At 37.1% G+C, this 21,766-nt stretch overlaps 1 protein-coding gene across 4 annotated transcripts; it reads right to left on the bottom strand.

The window, feature by feature from the left end:
• Positions 1-266: 266 nt before the first annotated feature.
• RBMY1J (RNA binding motif protein Y-linked family 1 member J) lies at positions 267-21,727 on the bottom strand. 4 transcript variants are annotated; one of them, XM_047442739.1, is made up of 13 exons: positions 21,555-21,727; positions 19,581-19,693; positions 19,009-19,112; positions 15,808-15,985; positions 13,740-13,892; positions 11,615-11,729; positions 10,549-10,659; positions 9,998-10,108; positions 9,453-9,563; positions 8,419-8,529; positions 8,244-8,332; positions 4,364-4,510; positions 267-1,770 (listed from the first exon to the last, which is right to left on the bottom strand). In XM_047442739.1, the coding sequence occupies exons 2-13, from the start codon at positions 19,687-19,689 to the stop codon at positions 1,760-1,762; spliced, it is 1,350 nt and encodes a 449-aa protein (XP_047298695.1). In that variant the 5' UTR covers positions 19,690-19,693; positions 21,555-21,727; the 3' UTR covers positions 267-1,759. The 4 variants fall into 4 exon arrangements, with proteins under 4 accessions (XP_047298695.1, NP_001006117.2, XP_011529802.1 ...); NM_001006117.4 differs by lacking the exons at positions 267-1,770; positions 4,364-4,510 and adding an exon at positions 7,256-7,832; XM_011531500.2 differs by lacking the exons at positions 267-1,770; positions 4,364-4,510; positions 8,419-8,529 and adding an exon at positions 7,256-7,832.
• Between the last annotated feature and the right edge of the window lie 39 nt (positions 21,728-21,766).

The raw sequence follows: 21,766 nt of genomic DNA, 5'->3' as shown, positions 1-21,766 counted from the left end.
GCGATCAATTGTTCCTTCCCTAAGGTTCTCCACACCCCTGTTAACGCAGTTAAGAACTTCCTTCCTCTGCAACTAAGTTACTAAATTGTATATATTGTAACACTTGCCAGAGTACATTCCAATTATGGCTGTTTTCTTCATTCTCCAATTAAACTATGAATATTTTGAAGGAAAAGTCTATAAACACAATGGCTTGACATTTGTCAACATTTATTGCACAAAAGGTTATTAGATATTTATATATAACATTATAATACATTCATCCTAATTTCTGGAAAACAATATAAACAATCACTCTCCACTCCCCCATTGACTGCTCAACTTTAAACAATGTCTCTACTTTTAGAGCAATTATACAAACTTCCAAAAAACACCTGAAAGTGTTTTTATTTTAATTTATTTTGTTTTTTATATTGAATTATTTTGTAGAGACAAAGTCTTGCCTCATGGCCCAGGCTGAAATGCAGTGTGTGATAACAGCAAACTACAACTGTGAACTCCTAAGTGGAACAACAGATGTGTGCCATCATGCCCAATTTAACTAATTAAATATTTAGTTACATTTTAAAAATGGTTCTTGCTGTGTTGCCTATGCTGCTGTCAAACTCTGGGTTTGAAGCAGTCCTCCCTTCTAAGCCTCCCAGAGAGCTGCAATTCCAGGCATGAACAACCAGACCTCAAAGAGGAAATTTTAGATTTTAGAATATTGCAATATATTAGACTTAATTTCTTCTTTCAGTTTTGCATTTGCAGTGGCACTTGAGAATAATTATTACTTATGGTGAGAGTGTGATTTCTCATATTTGGTCACCAGATTTTGAAATCTTTATTCTGTTTGCTTAAATCCTAATAACTGGTAGTCAACTCAGCTGAAAGTCAAGTACATGGGTGACTTGTTTTGAGGCTATGGAGACAAATGTACAGATGTATTAAGAACCAAAGACTATTTTTTATATAGGCTAAAGCTTTATCCTTGCTGGTGAAGCATCATACGTGGCATGGATAGTTTTATAAAATACCCTGAAATACATACTTTAGTAAGCAATTTAGCACTCACAATTTCCCAACTTTGTTTTCATCTGAAGTTAATGATGTATGGCACTTCTAGTAAGTAAATGAATGTTTGAATTGCTGTGAGTTATTTTAGTCATTTCTCAGTTAACCATTTAAGTTATCAAAGATCTTTACTTGTGCAATATCATAAATGATAGACATTAAAAATGAATCAACAGAATTGATCTAACTAAAAGCTGTCATCTAATGTGATATTTTTTCAGTAAGATGACAGCAGTAATTATGCCAAAAAAAATAGTCATTCCCCTAGCTTGAGCCATTATAGCAACTTCTAACCAAAGATTTCACAGGCAGGGTCCAGATCTGGGCAACAGTTATTAACATAATGGTTATTGTTGAGAATAAATTTTGATACGTCTAGCTGTGCTTGGATGTCAGTGCCTTGAAGGGACAGGTTTGGCATATTAATAAGAAAGGGTGCATTGGACTGAATACTAAGAAATGAATTGTTTTTCTTATCTTCTATAACATGAAAGGTCAATTTGAGATATAGAAACACTGGAACATTTCACAGCATGGCCTGACATTTCACTGCACTTTTATTTTTTTAACCATGTACAAAGTTGATTAAATACACAAAGGTAGGACTGCTATAGGATGAAAGTGGTGGAGTCAGAGGTCACAATCCAAAGCAAGGTGATAGTCTCTTGAGGATGACACCCTGATTGCTGAATTAGGGTGAGAATCAACTTTCAGCTGTTAACAGGGGACAAGGAGAATGAAGTTATCAACAGTTAACATTATTGGATTAATTGAAATGAATGTTGGCAGAGATTTTGCTGGCTTTACATCAAATTGAGTATAGTACTTCAAACTGAGTATTTGATGAGGGTAAACACTTAATCAAGTTTTCCACATGTAAAATTGAGAATTAATTAAAAGATTATACAACCCACACGTTATGGGTATCTCATATAAATTTATATACACATGTGCAAACTTGCAGTGTGCATATATTTGTCTATATCTAAATATATCCAAATCCATTGATGAACAGTTAGAAATTTAGAAATTATTCTCCCATTTTATCATTCCCTTTCCTAGAATTTTGTCACAAATATAATTTTTCCATCTGTTTGAAGCCTACTCTCTGGAGGCATGTAATGTATGGACACAGTAAAGCCCTGAGGTATCACAGGGTTTTTATCAGAGAAAATAATAACACTGGTGTTATAAAAGATCCATTGTGAGGAGAAAGATATATTTCACATGATTACAAATACAGAAGTATTATTTCATCAAAAGCTGGTATCAGTGAATACAATTTGTTTTTAATGTTTTATTTAAAATATTTAATCTCAAAAGAATTTGTTGAGTAGAATAATGATATTGGTAAGAAATAATGATTCAGAATTTCCTTTAATTTGTTGACTTTTAAAATTAAGTGAAATACTAAAAAGTACTATTTAATGTAGTTTCATGAAGCATTCTCTATGGTTTTATAAAATTAATAGTCTCAATGGAATTTTTTGACACAGAAATGTCCTTATATAATTTTATGATTTATTATTGTACTTTCACTTTATTACTTGCTTGCATGTCACAACTGATAGAAATAAAAATATTTTCATTTACACATATACAAAACATGGATGTTTGTTTATGTTTTCTAGTGAAAGAAAGTCACCAATAATTGTATCTATGTAGGAAAATTTTGACAAGCCCAAAGTTCTTAACTTTCTTTTCTTTTGAAGTTTCATATTTCAGTCTAGGTATGAGATCAAATTGACTATGATTATTTTTTGATTTTACTATGACTACTGAGTTTCTGATATAGTGTTTTATATATGTGTGTGTACATATATATATATATATTCATATAGCGATATATATAGTGACACTCCCCTTAACCCAGGTGGACTCCTCATCCTCACTACATGGTATGGCCCGAAGTGTTACTCCTGGGGCCCCAGCCACTGTTTCAAGGTCCAGAGACTGACCAGCAGACCCCTGAGTCCTTGTCCTCCTGTCCAAGTAATAGCCATAGAAATAGTAAAAGAGTGGCATATTAGACTTCATAATATTTTTAAGGCTGATCTCTTTATAAGCATTTCATGCAGATATTTATGACATTATCTCATTTGTTTTATAGATTTGTAGCTCTAATTTCAAAATCAATTTTTGCTTGAGAGTTATTTCAACATATAACCAAATGTTTGGAGCTATTACATAAAGGTTTCAAGGTTAAAAGTCTGTATCAGCTATTACGTTGGGTAAAACCCATCCAGCACTTAAAAAAATAAGTAATTATTAGGCATGGCCACAGTAGTGGTCTAAAATACACTTTGAAATTCTTCACAAACCAATTTGAAATTATTCCTGATGTAACTGAACACAGTACTTGCTTCTAATTAATAGAAAACAGTGAAAGCATTTTCTGGATACTGGGCCACCTCTGGCCTAGGTTAGACAAGGTGATACAGCTCTGCCTAAGTCTCCTGCTCTCATGGGGACAAACCCCTTGGAAGCCATGGACCAGGACATTATGAAGTCTAACACCCTGATAACACTATGCAGTAGGGACATCCCATGGAGAGATGCATAGAAATAGAAGGAGATGCCCAAGAATCTCAGCAGTCCAGCCCCACAATTTGAGTTATGCTAGCTATGGCACCAGGGAGATGAGAAGACACCTGACAATGTCCCCATCCTGAGCCGTCACTAGATTGTAAACTCCTGAGTGCCCCTGAACCACATTCATTTGGCTGAGAGACTGAGGGCGATTGCAGAGACTGACAGTTAGTAAATTATAATTATGGTTTTAAGCCACTAAGTTTTAGATAATTCTGAAAAGCACTTTAGACTCCTAGAAAAACTGTGTTGTCTACTGACTTCATTGCAGAGAGCTGTAAAGGCCAACATCATGAATGCTAATACCCTGGAAAAGTCAAATCATCGAGACTCTTCTAAGCACAACAGATCTTTAATGTCCCTTCGCTATGGCTGGAGAATAATCTAACATGTATCTGATAGAGTTGTTGGAAAGCCTCTGTTCACATCTCTCAGCCTGGTATGGGTCAACTCTGGTCTGCTTTAATTCTAGGCAACTGCAGCAGCTCACCTTTCATTTAGGTCGTGGCCTACACTGATTTTTTTTGATCACTGACTGTGTCTTTGTCTGTGTGTGTATGCTTTGTGTGTTACCATATTTTATCTGAGGAGGCTAAATAGTAGTACTATAATTGTTTTGTAAACATAAAACATTCCAGGAAGTCAATATTGCTTATCAATCGAGCTTTAAAACAGATACGAAATTAGACATGACAAGATGCCACGTCTAGTATCATACCAAAGCTAGCCAAGCTTGGTGGCCCGTGGATGTTATCCCAGCTACTTGGAAGGCTGATGCAGGAGAATCCATTGAACCCTGGTGATGGAGTTTGCAGTAAAGTGAGATCACACCACTGTGCTCCAGCCTGGGCACCAGAGCGAGACGCTGTCTCAGAAATAAAAAGAGAATAAAATAATAAAATAGGAGAGATCACGGGAGAGAGAAATGCATACCACTGGGTGGGCACTGTGGCTCATGCCTGGATCCCAGCATTTTGAGAGGCTGATGTGGGTGGATCACTAAAGGAAAGGAATTCAAGACCAGCCTGAGCAAATATTGTGAAACCTGGTCTCTACTGAAAATACAAAATATTTGCCAGGATTGGTGTCACATGATTGCAGTCGCAGCTGCTTAGGAGGGTGTGACTGGACAATTGCTTGAACCCGTGATAAGGAGGGAGCAGTGAGCTGAGATCACGCCACTGCACTCCAGCCTAGGTGACAGGGCAGGATTCTTTCTTAAAAAAAAAAAAAATCAGTGAGAGAAAAAGATACAGAGACAAAAAGAAAGAAAGACAGGAAGGAAGAAAGGAAGGGAGGGAAGGAGGAAGGGAATGAAAATTTGTACCTAACAGTTGTAGATACTTTTGGCATACATGTGATATTTTGATACAAGTAATGTGAACTGGTAAGCGAGGGATCAAAGAGGGGATGGGGGTGGGTTAAATTATACTTGCTTAGAAGGAATAATATCTAGTGTTCAGTGGCACAGGATGACTACACTTAATAATGATTTATTGTACATCTCAAAATAATTAATAGAGCGAAGGTGGAATGTCGCTGATACCAAGAAAAGATACGCCAGACTCAGTGAGGTGGAATGTCGCTCATAATGAGAAAAGATATGCCAGACTCAGTGGCTCACGGCTATAATCACAACACTTTGGGAAGCCAGGGAAGGAGGATTATTTCGGTCTGGGAGTTTGAGACCAGCCTGAACAATATATCCAAAGCATTGTCCCTACCACACACACACAAACACAAAAGCTGGGCACGGTGGTTGGTGTGTGTCTGTAATTCCAGCTACTTGGGAGGCTGAAATGGAAGGCTTGCACATTTCAAGCCCGTGTTCAAAGCTGCAGTGAGCTATGATGGTGCCACTGCAGTCTAGGCTGGACAACAGTGTGAGACCTTGTCTCTAAAAAAGAAAAAAGAATCGGTAAGTGCTTGAACTGAAGGATACCCTATTTATTATGTATATATTTGTTCATTGATATAATTATTTTTGTGTTGGAGTCGCACTCTGTCACCCAGGCTAGAGTGCATGGTGCAATATCGGCTCACCGCAGCATCAGGCTCCCAGGTTCAAACCACTGTCCTGCCTGAGCCTCCCAATTAACTGCAACGTACTACAGGCAGGCACCACCATGCCCGGCTAATTTTTGTATTTTTGGTAGAGATGGGGTTTCATGGTGTTGGCCAGCCTGGTCTTCAACTCCTGTCCTAAAGTGCTCTGCAAGCCTCGGCCTCCCCAAGTGTTAGAATTAGAGACCTGAGCCGTCACACATGGACAGTAAGATACACAAGACTCGGGAGATTTATCTTTTCACTTCATCCTCACAATGCTACAGGTGAATGAAAACACTCCATAACATGAATAACTCACTTGAAAATCAAAGTTGGTAACTTCTCCCTTTAAAATTATTTGTACCCTTACCCTGTAAAAATTGATGATTGTGTCAAAATTTTTCAAGAAAATACTTCCTCCTTGCAGATTAGTCTGTCAATTGTAAGAATTATGGACTGCAAAACTTCTGGAACTTGATGTATTTCATTTCTTTAGTTTGTATAATCAGGAAAATTAATTCATTTAGTTATTTCGGTCTAAATATTTGTATCATTCAGTGATGTCTTAAAACTTTAAGCAATCCCGTCGGAAACTTTATGCTGTTGTTTATGTTTTATACACTTCACTTTCCCCTAAGTATGAGGTTTAAAGCGTTTCCATTCATATTATCAATTAAATACGATAGGCTGACAGTGGTGGCACATGCCTATAATCTTAGCACTTCGGGAGTCTGAGGAGGGTGGATCAGGATTTTAAGAACAGCCTGGCAAACAAGGTGAAACGCTGTCTGCACTAAAAATACAAAAATTGGCCCCGCTGTGCGGCACACATATCTAATACCAGTTACTCAGGATGCTGAGGCAGGAGAATAGCTTGGATCCAGAAGGCAGCGGTTGCCATAAGCCAAGACAGAGCCACTGCACCCCAGCCTCGGCGACAAAGCTGTACACTTCATCTCAAAAAAAACTGATACTATCCCAACCACTCTAGATTATTCCTATCTGTAAGAACATATTACTAAACCATTACTTACAACATCCACTGTCAAAATATTCAAGAAAAAATTAACGTGGGAACCTCACAAGACAAAACACTTACTTTCCACTATTCAAACTACGAACATTTAAATTCATTATGCTACGCGCCTGAGAAACTTAGCTGGTTCACTTCTGATTTAGGTGAAAAAAAAAAGTTTTCATTACCGTTATCCTCTTCAGTCACAGAATGCTTCACATAGAATGTTCCGGATGTCTTAAACTTTAGTATCAATACATCTAATGATTTCCTTTGACCTGTACTATTCCTCTAAAAAATAAACGTTTTATGGTGAGGCAGACGGTTTTGTAGTCTTTCTGAAGACTTCTCCAACATTTTAACCTTGTTAGTTTTTAAAGAGAAACAGCCTAATTAGAAAACTTGAGCAGCTTGCAAGGGCGACATAACACATCCCTAATTTTGTACCTATGTTCAAACAAACAAAGGAAAATGTACAACAGACTACACAATTTACTCTCCTATTGAATTTGCTTTAAGCATGCGCGGCTAACAATAACACCAGGCATCTTGCAGTACATGTAAAATTTTATTGTGAAAATTTTAAGGTAGATATTACATCTAAACACTTTTCAAATAGCATCAACAAGTATGAAATTACTTTGAAAACAATTCCTTTTCCTTTGAATACCTCAAAAAATTCATGGAGGAAGTTAGTATCTACCTCTCTCCACAAAACCAACATGTTTCTTTCAGTAATATGCAGGTAACAATGCAGAAATAACATTTCAATTTTTGATTTGCAAACAAGGATTGGTATGCAATAACTATTATTTTCAATGCTTGCTTTAATATCTGCTCGAGTCTCCTTTTTCAGATCGACTCTCCCCACCATCTACTATAGATGCCACATAACTTGAGCTACCATATGCTTCACGAGGATCAGGGAGCACCCTACCCAGAGAAGGCGGATTCCTTTGGTCTTTTCTGCAAACATGCTCACGATCACAATAATGAAAATCACCACAGCTCGAGTAACTCTCCCAACTTCTGCCATATCTATCTCGTGTATTACTATATGCGTGGCAGGTGCTTCCACCATAAGACATCCGAGGCCCTCTTGCAGGTGGTGCACCATGAGAGGTCCCTGCAGGGTTGGTAAAATAATATGTGGGACTACATTTAAACATTTTTACTGCTATCATTAAAGCATGAATTAGTTAAAGTACTATTTGGAAATATCTGCTTTCCTCCGCCTTTGTTGACAGGATATTAATCAAGTCTTTAATAGTCAGAAGGTTTTATTTAAGAGAAGTGTAAGAGTAGTATTTTGCAGCTTAACAAACTTAATTCTAAAGTAAATGCTCAGTCACATTTTCTTAACGTTAACTGAAGTTCTCACCTTCATATCATTCCCTAGGCTTTATACTGTTAAGAATACTCAATATTTAAACATGTTGCATATGCCCTTTACAATTTTCCTTAGAATTTCATTAAAATAACAATCTGGTCTATTAAATAAAATTCTGTAATTTACAAATCCATCCTGGACCCTTACCGTATCTCTGAAGTGCATCTCTATAAGAACTTCCACTTAGATGTTCAGAATGATCTCTACCAAGGGCCTCACCGTAGCCATCATGATAACTAAATTGAAAAAAAAAAAGTCTTTTCAATTTCAGAATGAACAATTTAAGAAATCCATTTGATAAATCCAGATAACATGTTAGTACCTATATCCTCTAGAGGAATGTTCATCCCAACTAGAATGACCATAATCACGGTATGCATAGTCTCTATGTGGTGGAGCATAATCCCTGGTTTCTCGGGAACTTGGATGATTTCTGCGTGCACGAGTTGAAGCAAGGAATTTTAAATTGTCACCTTCTAGTATCCAAAACATAACTACATTACAACTTAAACACAATTAAATTGCCAAACATCTAAATAAAATGCCCACAGAGCCCAAATGCCCAAAATGCCCAAATGCCCAAAAAGCACATGAAACAGATACTCATAATCAGTGATTCAGGAAATGCATTTCAAATAAAAAAGGAGCTTCCACACTTCACACACACACACACTGGAAGGGCAAAAAACTTACAAAAGCAGGAAATAACAAGTGTTTGAGAGGATGTAGATAAATTGCAGCCCTGATACAATGTTAGTTGGAATGAACAATTTAAGAAATCTATTTGATAAATCCAGAAAAAGTTACAGTATCTATATCCTCTAGAGGAATGTTCATCCTGCCTAGAATGACCATAGTCTCAGTATGCCTAGCCTCTAGATGGTGGAGCATAATCCCTAGTTTCTCGGGAACTTGGATGATTTGTGTGTGCATAAGTTTAAGCAACAAATTTTAAATTTTCATCTTCTAGTATCGAATACATGACTAACTTACAACTTTAAATTAAAAGGCCAAACATCTAAATAGGTATTTCTCCAAATAAAATAGGCAAATGCCCAAAAAGGACAAGTGACAGATACTCATATTCAGTGATTCAGAAAATGCATTTCTTTTTGTTTTATTATACTTTAAGTTCTAGCATACATGTGCATGATGAGTTAATGGGTGCAGAAAATGCATTTCAAATCCAAAATGAGATATCATATTTCACACACACAGATGAATGGCAATAGATTTTCAAAAGCAGGAAATAACAAGTGTTTGAGAGGATGTAGATAAATTGGAGCCCTGATACAATGTTAGTTGGAATGAACAATTTAAGAAATCTATTTGACAAATCCAGAAAAATTACAGTACCTATATCCTCTAGAATAACTTTCATGTCGACGAGAATGACCATAATCACGGTATCCATGGCCTCTAGATGGTGGAGCATACTCCCTAGTTTCTCGGGAACTTCGATGATTTCTGTATGCATAAGTTTAAGCAACAAATTTTAAATTTTCAACTTGTAGTATCCGATATATGACTAACTTACAACTTAAACAAAATTAAAAGGCCAAACATCTAAATAGATATTTCTCCAAATAAAATGGGCAAACGCCCAAAAAGCACATGGGACAGATACTCATATTCAGTGATTCAGAAAATGCATTTCTTTTTTTTATTATACTTTAAGTTCTAGGGTCCATGTGCATGATGAGTTAATGGGTGCAGAAAATGCATTTCAAATCCAAAATGGGATATCATATTTCACACACAGATGAATGGCAATAAATTTTCAAAAGCAGGAAATAACAAGTGTTGGAGAGGATGTAGATAAATTGGAGCCCTGATACAATGTTAGTTGGAATGAACAATTTAAGAAATCTATTTGACAAATCCACAAAAAGTTACAGTACCTGTATCCTCTAGAATAACTTTCATCCCGACGAGAATGACCATAATCACGGTATGCATGGCCTCTAGATGGTGGAGCATAATCCCTAGTTTCTCGGGAACTTCGATGATTTCTGTATGCATAAGTTTAAGCAACAAATTTTAAATTTTCAACTTCTAGTATCCGATATATGACTAACTTACAACTTAAACAAAATTAAAAGGCCAAACATCTCAATGGATATTTCTCCAAATAAAATGGGCAAATGCCCAAGATGCACATGGGACAGATACTCATATTCAGTGATTCAGAAGACGCATTTCTTTTTTTTTTATTATACTTTAAGTTCTAGGGTCCATGTGCATGATGAGTTAATGGGTGCAGAAAATGCATTTCAAATCCAAAATGAGATATCATATTTCATACGCACACACTGGAAGGGCAATAAATTTTCAAAAGCAGGAAATAACAAGTGTTTGAGAGGATGTAGATAAATTGGAGCCCTGACAGAACGTTAGTTGGAATGAGCAATTTAAGAAATCTATTTCACAAATCCAGAAAAAGTTACAGTACCTATATCCTCTAGAGGAATGTTCATCCCGATTAGAATGACCATTATCACGGTATGCATAGCCTCTAGATGGTGGAGCATAATCCCTCGTTTCTTGGCAACTTGGATGATTTCTGTGTGCATAAGTTTAAGCAACAAATTTTAAATTTTCAACTTCTAGTATCCAATACATGACTAACTTACAACTTAAACAAAATTAAAAGGCCAAACATCTAAACAGATATTTCTCCAAATAAAATCGGCAAATGCCCAAAAAGCACACGGGACTGATACTCATATTCAGCGATTCAGAAAATGCATTTCTTTTTGTTTCATTATACTTTAAGTTCTAGGATACATGTGCATGATGAGTTAATGGGTGCAGAAAATGCATTTCAAGTCCAAAATGGGATATCATATTTCAAACACACATTTGAATGGCAATAAATTTCAAACAGCAGGAAATAACAAGTGTTTGAGAGGATGTAGATAAATTGGAATGCTGATACAATGCTAGGTTGGAACGGGAAATGATGCAGCTACTATGGAGAAATGTGGTGGTTCCTCAAGAAAACAAACATCATTATCATAGGACCATGCAATTCCACTCATATACACCCAGAACCGAATAAGCATACTCAAACGAATATTGGTGCGTAGAAATACTCGGGTGGAAACAATGCAGATAAAATAATGGGTTAATAGCTTGTGGAAGGAGTGAAGTGCTATGATGTAAATGAACCTTCAGGACATCATGCAAAAGGAGAGGAGACAAATACAAAAAGTCATGTAGTGTTTGAGCACATTAACGTTAAATACCCACAACAGGTAAGTTCAGAGGCAGAACACTGACTGGTGTTATCTAGCAGCTGAGGAAAAGGAGAAAACGGGAGGGACTGCTTAACTGGTAGTAGGAGTTTTAATTTGGAGTGATGAAAATGTTCTGGAACTCGATGGAGGTAGTTGTTGCATGGCACAGAATGTATCAAACACCACTTAACTGTTCACCTTATAATATTTAATTTTGTTATGTGAATTTCATCACCACAGGAAAAAAAAATCAACTGTGCTTTTTAATTTTTCCTTTACCCATCGTTAGTTGCATAACCATCATGTCTTGTTGACATGCGATCATTTCTCCAGGAAGATATTGTCGCTCTGCGTGGAGGAACTCCATAATTCTCTCTTCTTTGTGACATGGGACCTTTAACATTCAAATGATGGAACATTATGTAAAGAACACCAAATCTGAAACGCTATTTTCTCTTCTCTCAAACAACTTTTTAAAATTATTTCTTCTATGACTCCATTCTTTGTTTCCTAAATTACTAGACAGACATGACACTGTGAATATTTCTCATGGCTTTGGATAATCCCATGGCTCCCACAAGGCCAGTTCTTCTAATGAAGCTGAAGGCAAACATTAATGCTTAGGTAAAAGTTCATTTGTAATGGTTAATAACTACTTAGTTATTATTTTCCTTTCCATATAAATTACTGATGACTGTGAGTGACACAGGGAAAACACGTAAAACCATCAAACTCTTCACTGATTTTAAAGTTTACATACATTGTCCTTTCTCAGCCAAAGAAGGTAGATTTTCCAATATCATTCAGTCCATCTCACACACACATAAATACAGCTACCTTTAAATGACTATATGCTAAATGTTTACATAAAAGTTCTTTAGCTGGTTGGCTCTATCTTAAATGTTGACAAATTAAAATGTATTAGTGAAGATTTTCTAATGATGGTCAAGATTTGCTTTTACTGCAAAGAAAGCAATGCTATGCAAGGGGTCATTACAACATTGTTGCTGTTTCAAAATAGAAAGTTTCTCCTCTAATATATTCTTCACTTGCTATTCCTTAGAGGTCAGTGTTTCACATATGATACCTTCACTGGCTAATTTTCCAATGGAAATGTGTTGGCTTGGGTATCCTGAAGCCAATAAATACCTCCCTTCACCGATACTCTACGTATGAAATGTAAAATTGAAAATGGCAGTTTTTAACTTCCTCCATATGCGGATGGAGGACTAAGAAAGAATTTTAATTTGCTCTGCTTAAACTTCCTTGCTAAGAACTTTTATTTATTGTCTTATTTTCTTCTGTTCAGTCTGCAGTCTTACAATTCTTCTCAAAAGTATTACTTGCATTCAACCCTACCGCTCACCTCATGTTGCTTAGTTCTAAATTCTCTCCTCAAATAATTTCAAATCTTACACTAAGGATCTTGTGTTAATGTTTAAACATCCCGGTACAATCTCAATTACTGATTTACATACACCTATATTTCACAACTCTGCATTTCTGTGATATCCACTTAATTTAAGAATTTTGGACTCCTACGTGTCTACCTCTCGAGCCTTAAATTTATTTTTAAATCATATTTAAGCCCAATGACTCCTTGTCTGCTAAATGCTCTTGTAGTTCTTTTGAATCTTCATGCACGCAGTGAGTATGCCTTGCACATACGCATTACTGAGGTCTCAGAAGCTGGATGGCCAGGCTTAGCGGCTCACACTGTGAGTGAGTGTGGAAGGCTGAGGCAGCTGGACCGCTTGAGCCCCGGGCTTTAACATCAGTTTTGACAATGTAGTCAGATCCTCTCTCTACAAAAACATAGGGAAAAAAATGTAGCTAGGTGTGCTGCTGCATGCCTGTAGTTGCACAAACTCGGGAGGCTGAAACAGCAGAATTGCTTGAGCCCAGGAATTTGAGGCTATAGTAAGCCGTCATCTCACAAATTTGAGGCTACAGTAAGCCGTCATCTCACATAGTGCACTCTCACCTAGTAAGAGCAAGACTCCAACCCAGCAAAGTCACCGAACAAGCAATTTTTAGAATGGGACACCAGGGGACTTAGGAAATGGAAGAATTAATTAGATCAAGAAGCCTACCATCAAAGAATACTGCTAGGAACTTTTAGAAAAATTAAGGGGAATTTTCTAGCCAACACAGGATTAAAAGGAACGTTGGCCTCACTCTAATCACTTCTTTGATCTGCAATGAGAAGCTCAAGTATTTCTTCAACATAAATCTGAAATGTACCTAGTGAGATAGAAACTATAATAAAAGCTATCAATCAGTAATTATGCTCACGTATGTGTCACTTCTCTTTTGTTCAATGAACTTAAAGCTAAGCATTCAGGTAAAACGGCTCATTTTTAGTCATACAAAAACTACGGTCTTTCTGTCAGGCAGCATTTACCTTGGCTTCCCATCCAACTATTGCTTCTTGCCACAGCAGAAGGAGCAGATTTTTTCGGAGGAGGACCTCCACTTCTTGAAGATGGACCTCTTTTAACTGGAATGAGTCCCCTAGAATAACTCATCTTGAGATCAGGAGTGTATCCACCATCATCTGTATTTCAAACAAAATCTTTTTAGTTAACTGACGTCACTGTTTCTTAAATGGCTAAGTTTTAGTTGTTTACAAATATTTTCTACATTTTATAACAAATTCACATTTTGTCTAAACTAATAAAATTAGCATTCCTACAAGGTATTAGTACACTTCAAGCATTAAAAGTTCATTTAGAAAATCTAGAAAGAAACTCAAGTATCATAATATATCGGTATGAAGGAGAGATGTGGGAAAATGGGGAGTGAACGGGGGCAGAAATCTATCACTAAAATATCCAAATATAATATACATAAAAATATTAAAAGAAAAATGATAAATGACTGTTTATATCATTCTGTAATGAGGAAAAATTTTCAAAGCACATCATAAAGATAAACTAATTTCCATTCAAAGAAACTCAAATATTTCCAATACCAAGAAATCACATATCAGGAAAATACATTGTCTCTAAAATTTGTTAACACAATATAGAATTCTTAAAATTCCCTTATGAGACACTAATTTTCAGATGAGACTATGCTGAATTTTAACAGTCTTTAAGAATTGCATATTCGGTAATATAAACATATTTTTATACATCTACAAAAACGTAGATATATGCCAATTGCCAGGTGGTGTTACAGGTTAGAATTTATGTATACATTCTCGTCCGTGGCAGAGTATAATTGAAGCTCACCCTCAAGATCAGTGGAGGCAAAACAGCCGTGAAGCTACGCATCTTAAAATGGAGCAAACACTGCAATTTCAACTTGAAAACAATCTCCAATTAATTACATGTCTGGTTATTAAAACTCCAAGCTAATTGTTAGAGTTTTGAAGGTTGGTTAATAGATAATACAAGTTAACCAACAGGTTTATTTATTTATTTATTCAGATGCACTCTTGCCCTATCACGCAGGCTGGAGTGCCATGGCATAACCTTGGCTCACTGCAGCTTTTGCCTCCCAGGTTCCTGTGATTCTCCTGCCTCAGCCTCCTGAGTAGCTGGGATTACAGGTGCACGCCACCAGGCCCAGGCAAATTTTTTTGTATCTTTAGGAGAGACAGGGTTTCACCATGTTGGCCAGGCTGGTCTGGAACTCCTGACCTCGTGGTCCACCTCCCCTGTACTCCCCAGGTGCTGAGGTGACAGGCGTGAGCCACCTCGCACAGCCCATCCAATAGTTTTTTCTTTTTCCTTTTTTTTAAATATATGGTTTGTTTTTCTTTTATATGTAAAGATGGACCCCTCATTTCTATTAAGTAAATCACTCATAAATATCATTTTCAGTGACTCAGCCTCCAGCAAAGAAAGATTCATACATATCTGTGAAGCAGTGGTTTTTAGATCTTTCCAGAGTCACAGACTCTTTTCAGAAATTAAAGTTCTACATTTCTTAAATTGAAAATGCTTTACGGCAGGCCAATGTACAAACTCTCTGTATCAAAATTACAAAGCAATACATTTGCATAGATGTTTCCACATGTAGACACAAGAAAACAAATACTGCAAAATCAATCTTCAGTATTCAGTTACTTCTTCCTGTTGGAAAATTTTAAATATTACATCGTACTTTGATAATACAACTGACACGAAGTTCTGGGCCCTAAAGTAGAAAACTCTAAAGTATAATGAATATAAATGAGTTCTGCAGAAAACCGGTTGAGTACAGGCAATCAGCATTCACAAACACAACTCAGTTTCAAATGTGTGTTACTTCAGTGCAAACTTATTATAATTGTTAAACAAATTTTAGATATTAGTTCAATCATTCTTATAATACACCTTTATAGTACTTAGAAATAAGTTTGCTTATTATCAATAAGCTAATTTTCTCTTCATACAGGAAAGAAAAAAATTAAGAAATTTCAATATCGTCAAACTTATTTTCTTTCAGTCCTATGGTTCCATCTTTATATTTTAAAACATTACCCAGGTGCCCTTCATGTGAGGGAAGCCACCCTCTTGTTCCTCCACTGCTTCCTCTTGCAGATCTCAGACTTCCTGAAGGGCTTCTGTTTCTCGAAGAAGCTGGTGGTCTCCGCCTACCACCACTTTGAAAAGATGGTTTCTTGGCTTGTTCTACTTTTATTGCTTTTCCATGCAAAGACTAGAAGTATTAAGGGTACTATCAATAACACTGGCACATTTAACGTAAGCACATTTTACAAACATTTTTACATCAACTGTAGTTCAATTTGAGGTATTTTCTCCCAAAAGGAAACTTTTTTTTTCTTCTAAAATGAACACATCTTTCGCAATGCCAAATTTGAGATAGTTACTGAGCACATGCCTTCCATTAAGGGATCAAACACAAATTCTATTATTCAAATTCCTTGAAAACTTCTCCATCATTAAAAAAAAAAAAAACTCAAACATAAAAAAAAAGTTTGACCCATCACACATTCTGTGGAAGAATGTGGCACATCTGTTTTTTACAATATATAATCCACTTCATCTTTGTAGTCACATCACTGATTTGAAAGTTGCAGTGTCCCAATGAAACTCGTGTCATTTAAAAAAAAAATGAGCTTACTTTTTCAGAGTGATTAGGCACATTACTCATTATGAGTTGTTTCTTGTTGGATTTGCTAACACTTCCATAAAATGTCCCCATATGATTTACAATTCTATATTGACTCTAAAAATGTTTCTGTAAATGTGATCCTTGTTTGATCTCATTAAGTTTTCTTGCCTTACTCATTTCTTACATTGCCTTAGACGTGCCCCTAAAAAACGAATCTTAATATAGTACTTCAGGTAATTTCTCAGAAATGCTTAACTATCCTAATTAATTTCATAATAACATTTTTCACTGTAATCTTTTCTACAGGCCACAGCAATTTTTGAAAACAGTTCAGCTAATAACGCGATTTAAAAATTACATGGCTTTTGTTATTTGGAGGAAGGACTTAAATCCCTGAACAAGACCGCTTGCAGCCACATCGCCCGTTGTTCCTACCTTGAAACTTCTTTTGTTATTTCTGGGCTCAAAATATTTTCCCCAGATTTGCCCACGGCTGCTTCCTTCCCAGTGTTCTGAAGTCAGCCAAAATTCCTTAACTGTTAATTCCCCCTGAAAACTCAAAGAACCTCCTTTATTGGCCATCTTAACATTAATGTGCATACAACATTCATAGTTATTTTAACACAATAAAATACGTGAGATGAAGTAATTTAGAAATAACGTTGGCTGGGCGCGGTGGCTCACACCGGTAATCCCAATACTTTGGGAGGCCAAGGCGGGTGGATCATGAGGTGAAGAGATAGAGCTCACCCTGGCTAACAGGGTGAAACCCCATCCCTACTCAAAGTACAAAATTAGCTGGGCGTGGTGGCGCGCCTCTGTAGCCCCTGGTACTGGGAGGCTGAGGCAGGAGAATCGCTTGAACCCGGGAGGCGGAGGTTGCAGTAAGCCAAGATGGCCCCACTGCAATCCAGCCTAGGGCACACAGCGAGTCTCCATCTTAAAAAACAAACAAACGAACAAAAACTTTACACAAATTATCTGCCCTTTTGCTTGAAAACTAGAGGGAAAAAAGAAATTATCATAGATTCCTATACAGAAGTCAAAATTATCTCCATACCTACCACAAAGCCATGAACCAAAAGCAACTCTCGGTTTCTACCACAGCTTGAAATACTAATTTATAAGGGTGAATAAAAATGTACTTTCTGCTATGTGACAGGAAGTGTGCTAGATGTAACAGAAAGAAAAGCAACTAGCAAGACTTAAATATGCACTATATACAATTTCACGATCAATAGATTAATACATAGTACAGCAAGTAGAAAATACCTACAATACGCAATGAGGAAGAAAATTATGAAATCTAAGTGGTTTTTGAAGCATAAATTTTATTTATGAGGCATACACAGGGAAGGATAATTCTCAAGAAGTCTAAAAAAGCACTTTGGGAATAGCGTGAAGACTAACAGGACCTAAAAACAGATTGGGATAACGTTATTTATTTATTTATTTTATTTATTTTTTGTTTTTTTGAGACGGATTCTTGCTCTGTTGCCAGGCTGGAGTGCATCGGCGTGATCTCGGCTCACTGCAACCTCTGCCTCCTTGGGTTTAACCGATTCCCCTGCCTCAGCCTACTGACTAGCTGGAACTACAGGCACACACAACCAGATGCAGCTAATTTTTTTTTTTGTATTTTAGTAGCGACAGGGTTTCACCATGTTGGCCATTATGGTTTCTTTCTCCTGACCTTGTGATCTGCCCGCCTTGGCCACCCAAAGCGCTGGGATTACACGCATGAGCCACCATGCCCGGCATGATTGGGATAATGTTATAAAGCAAAAAACACTAAAGAGCACAGAATGGAATGCTCTTGACTACAATGTAAAGGAATTCAATAATTAATATCATTACACAGAAGTTTAAAGCTTAAGTAAACACACAATCTCTAGATTTAAGACTCAACAGGACAAGAGACCATTGGTTCAATCAAAACAAGTCCTCAAACACACTGGGGAAATGAGTAATTAGCTATTCATGTTACATAAATCACTCTGGTGACAGGAAAGAAATGTCCTTAGGAGAAAAAGCAAGCATGGAGCCAAGAATGCCAGTTACTTCTTCTGTTATCTGACTTCAATGTTCTCATATTATTTTCTATTTTCAACTACTTAACCTTTCCGTAAATGTAAAGGTCTTATTTAAATACACTTTCGCAAGAATATATTTTCATAAAATATATTCTTCAAGAAGGAAAGAGTCTTTCCTTCTTGTGCATCTGTCTAGATGTCTATCCAGTTTGTCTACGCTCTAAAAGTATTTCCATGAATTGGATGTACTTCAATTAATAGCATTTAATAAATATTGACTTATTACTTTCATTTACATGAGGGTTCCTTATAAGTTTTAAAGCTCTTCAAAACCTTTTAAAATCTATGTGCACTCATATCGAAATACAAACATAGAAAAAGGTTACCAAATATTAATTTATATAATGTTAATTCCAATACCCTTCCAACTACACTTGCACGTATATGGCACAAAAAAGAGGATGGCTTCATATGTCATTCTACTATCTTCAAAAGTTTAGCAATATTAAAAAGACCTAGAAATATTGTTAATTGAAGAACAGAGTTAGAATATTAGTAATAAGGGACTCTTACCGTTCCATTCATATCTTTCGCAGCATTCTTAGCATCTGCAGGGTTCTCAAAAGTAATAAATGCAAAGCCTCTGGATTTGCTGGTTCGATCCTTTATCAAAAGAACTAAAATATATGAAAACATTTTACATTCATATAATGGACTCATCAAGGTACTCACCATCTAAAGGTTACATCAAGCTAAAAAATAATTGCATTTCACATCACTATTATGGTTCTCGATACTCAATCACCCCTACAGTCAGTCTAGTTTATTCCAGTTTGTTTCGGAACTCCACAGCACATTTACTTTCCCTCATTTTCCTTTCTAAGTAGTAGGTTATCCTTTCCATAGAACCTTAACCTACTACTATGAGAATTTTCCAAATATCAAACAGATACTACAAAATAAGAGTTTAAAATGCATAAGGCATTTTAATGTAGGTATACAATGAACTTTGAAAAAATATATTTTTTCAAAACATATATATATAACATACATATTTTAAACATACCTATTGAAATATACATGTGAAAATACACACACACACACACACACACACACACACACACACACACGGTTTTAAGAGTTACCTTCTGATATGGGACCATGTTTCCCAAATACTGCTTTAAGCATCTTCTCATTGGTTTCTCTATTGAGGCCACCAATGAAAAGCTTGCCAGGATGATCTGCTTCTACCATTGTGCTGTAAATGGTAAAAAATTATCTATATTTAGATATAAATAAGCTAAAAAGATAAAATTTTATTACATACTGTGCTGAAAACCCAAGTAAAATTCCCTTCCTGAGGCTGACATCTTTTTAGTATTTCTTACTTTATATATGTAAAATTTGTAACACTCAGAGCAAAGGGGCACTAACTTCATGGACAAATGCTGCATTTTAGTATGTACCTGACAAAAATCTCATTTCTAAAAATTAGATAAGAAAAGCTATTGTAATTTTCCTCAGTTGCAATATGAAGAATGTCCCCATTTAAATAATTTTATTTGAAAAGAATCTATTTATGAGGTACGGTGTGATGTTTTGCATATTTTCTTTCTTGAGATGTCTGTCTCCTGTCGCCAAAGTGAACTGCTCACTGCAGGCTCTTCCACCCAGCCTCAACTGATCTTCCTACATCTCAGCTTCCCAAGTAGCTAGTACTACAGGCGCTTTCTACCACAGCTGGGCAATTTTTTGTATTTTTAAAAATAGACAAGGGTTTCCCCATAGTGCCCAAGCTAGTCTCCAAATCTTCGGCTCAAGTGTTCTGCCGGCTTGGGACTACCAAAGTGATGGGATTTCAAGGGTGACTCACCACACTCAGCATGATATTTGGATAAGAGATTAAATCAAGCTACTTAAAATGTTCTAGGAGGAGAATATTTTAAATATTTTACCATCTTTTAGTGATTTGAAATATACAATAGGTCAAAGATCCCCAAACCCTAGCCTTCAACCCGTACCTATCTGTGGCCTGAATGTGATGCCGGAGGATGACCTGCAATACCTGTCTGTGGAGAATGTAACGCCTGAGGATGACCTGAGGTGGTACAGTTTTATCCGGAAACCATCCTCCCTACTCCCTCGCTGGCCCTCCCTGTCCCCGTGACAGCCTCACTGCCCCACCTGGCCTCTGTCACATTGCTCCTACCGGAAGACCCGCCCCACCACGTGCCCCTCGGAGGCCTGCCGCCAGCCCCCACTCCCAAACCTGTCCACCTCGCCGCCTTCTTCCCCTGCGCAACCTTTGTCTGAGGAAAAACTGACTTCCACTAAACCAGTCCCTGATGCGAAAATAGCAATGAAAGAGTCCAGTACGTTACCCAGGCTGGTCTCAAACTCCTGACTTCAAGCCATCCTCCGACCTCCACTTCCCAAAATGCTAGGACTACAGGAGTAAGGCAGTGTGCCAGGTTAACAGAATAACTTAAGCGCATCTATTTTGTTCCAGTTTTCGGCTATCTAACTCCATTTGTCTCGATTACACCCACTTATTCGGTTTAAACTATTTACGGTGCCAAAGACACATGAAACGTTTCAAATACTGTCATACAACGAAGGAGACAATCACAGGCTTTACAGAGGCAAACTGAAACTCAGATTATTTGTGGCCCCATATTTCTACATACACTAAAGTAACACAATTTATGTCAAAATTTGATAATTCTTCCAAGCAAATCAGACACGCGACACGTGCTAACTAAAAGTGTGACTTTTTAATCGCAGTGGTTAAGTGTATTGCCTGTATTCTGAATTATCACCACATTCACAGAGAAAACCCGCTTTAATAAAAAGTGCACATGAAAACCAATGGCGGCTTAGCACCATCTCCCACAACTAGTCGGACACATTAGGCAGTTAAAGGTAGAATCCTCAGGAAAAATCAATGAGTTTAACGAAAGTGAGTCTCTTAATAGCACTGAGGAGTTCTTTCCCCACTGACTCCTCCCGTAATTCAACACCCACACATAGAAAACCCATCCCCTTTTATAGACAAAATCCCAAACCTTCGCTTTCTATTCTTGCCGAGAGACCCAGCTGTCCAGAGAAACAGAAAATACCTGCGCTTTTTAGTAGGACAAAGAGCCTGAGGTTCGCCTGGCCCTCAGGCGTACGTAACCGGCTTCGGAACACCACAGGGCCAACTGCGGGAGGGACAGCTGGAGCTACCCTGAGAGGGAAGGACGCCGGAAGCCGTGCCCGGAAATCCCGCCTACCTCCAGCGGCCAATCATTGCGAAGGCGGTGGGCGTCAGCCAGTTACTGCAAAGGCT

This window comes from Homo sapiens, chromosome Y (genome assembly GCF_000001405.40).
Source record: "Homo sapiens chromosome Y, GRCh38.p14 Primary Assembly".
Classification (NCBI taxonomy): domain Eukaryota; kingdom Metazoa; phylum Chordata; class Mammalia; order Primates; family Hominidae; genus Homo; species Homo sapiens.
The sequence above is the reverse complement of the archived record's forward strand: the minus strand, read 5'-3'. Positions and strand labels throughout refer to the sequence as shown.

Coding starts and splice junctions, on each gene's coding strand:
- RBMY1J (NM_001006117.4), bottom strand. CDS start 19,689: ATGGTAGAAGCAGATCATCCTGGCAAGCTTTTCATTGGTGGCCTCAAT. Junction 8,530..9,452: donor AGTTATTCTAGAGGATATAG/GTACTGTAATTT, acceptor TCGTGCACGCAG/AAATCATCCAAGTTCCCGAG. Junction 7,833..8,243: donor AGATGCACTTCAGAGATACG/GTAAGGGTCCAG, acceptor CCAACCCTGCAG/GGACCTCTCATGGTGCACCA.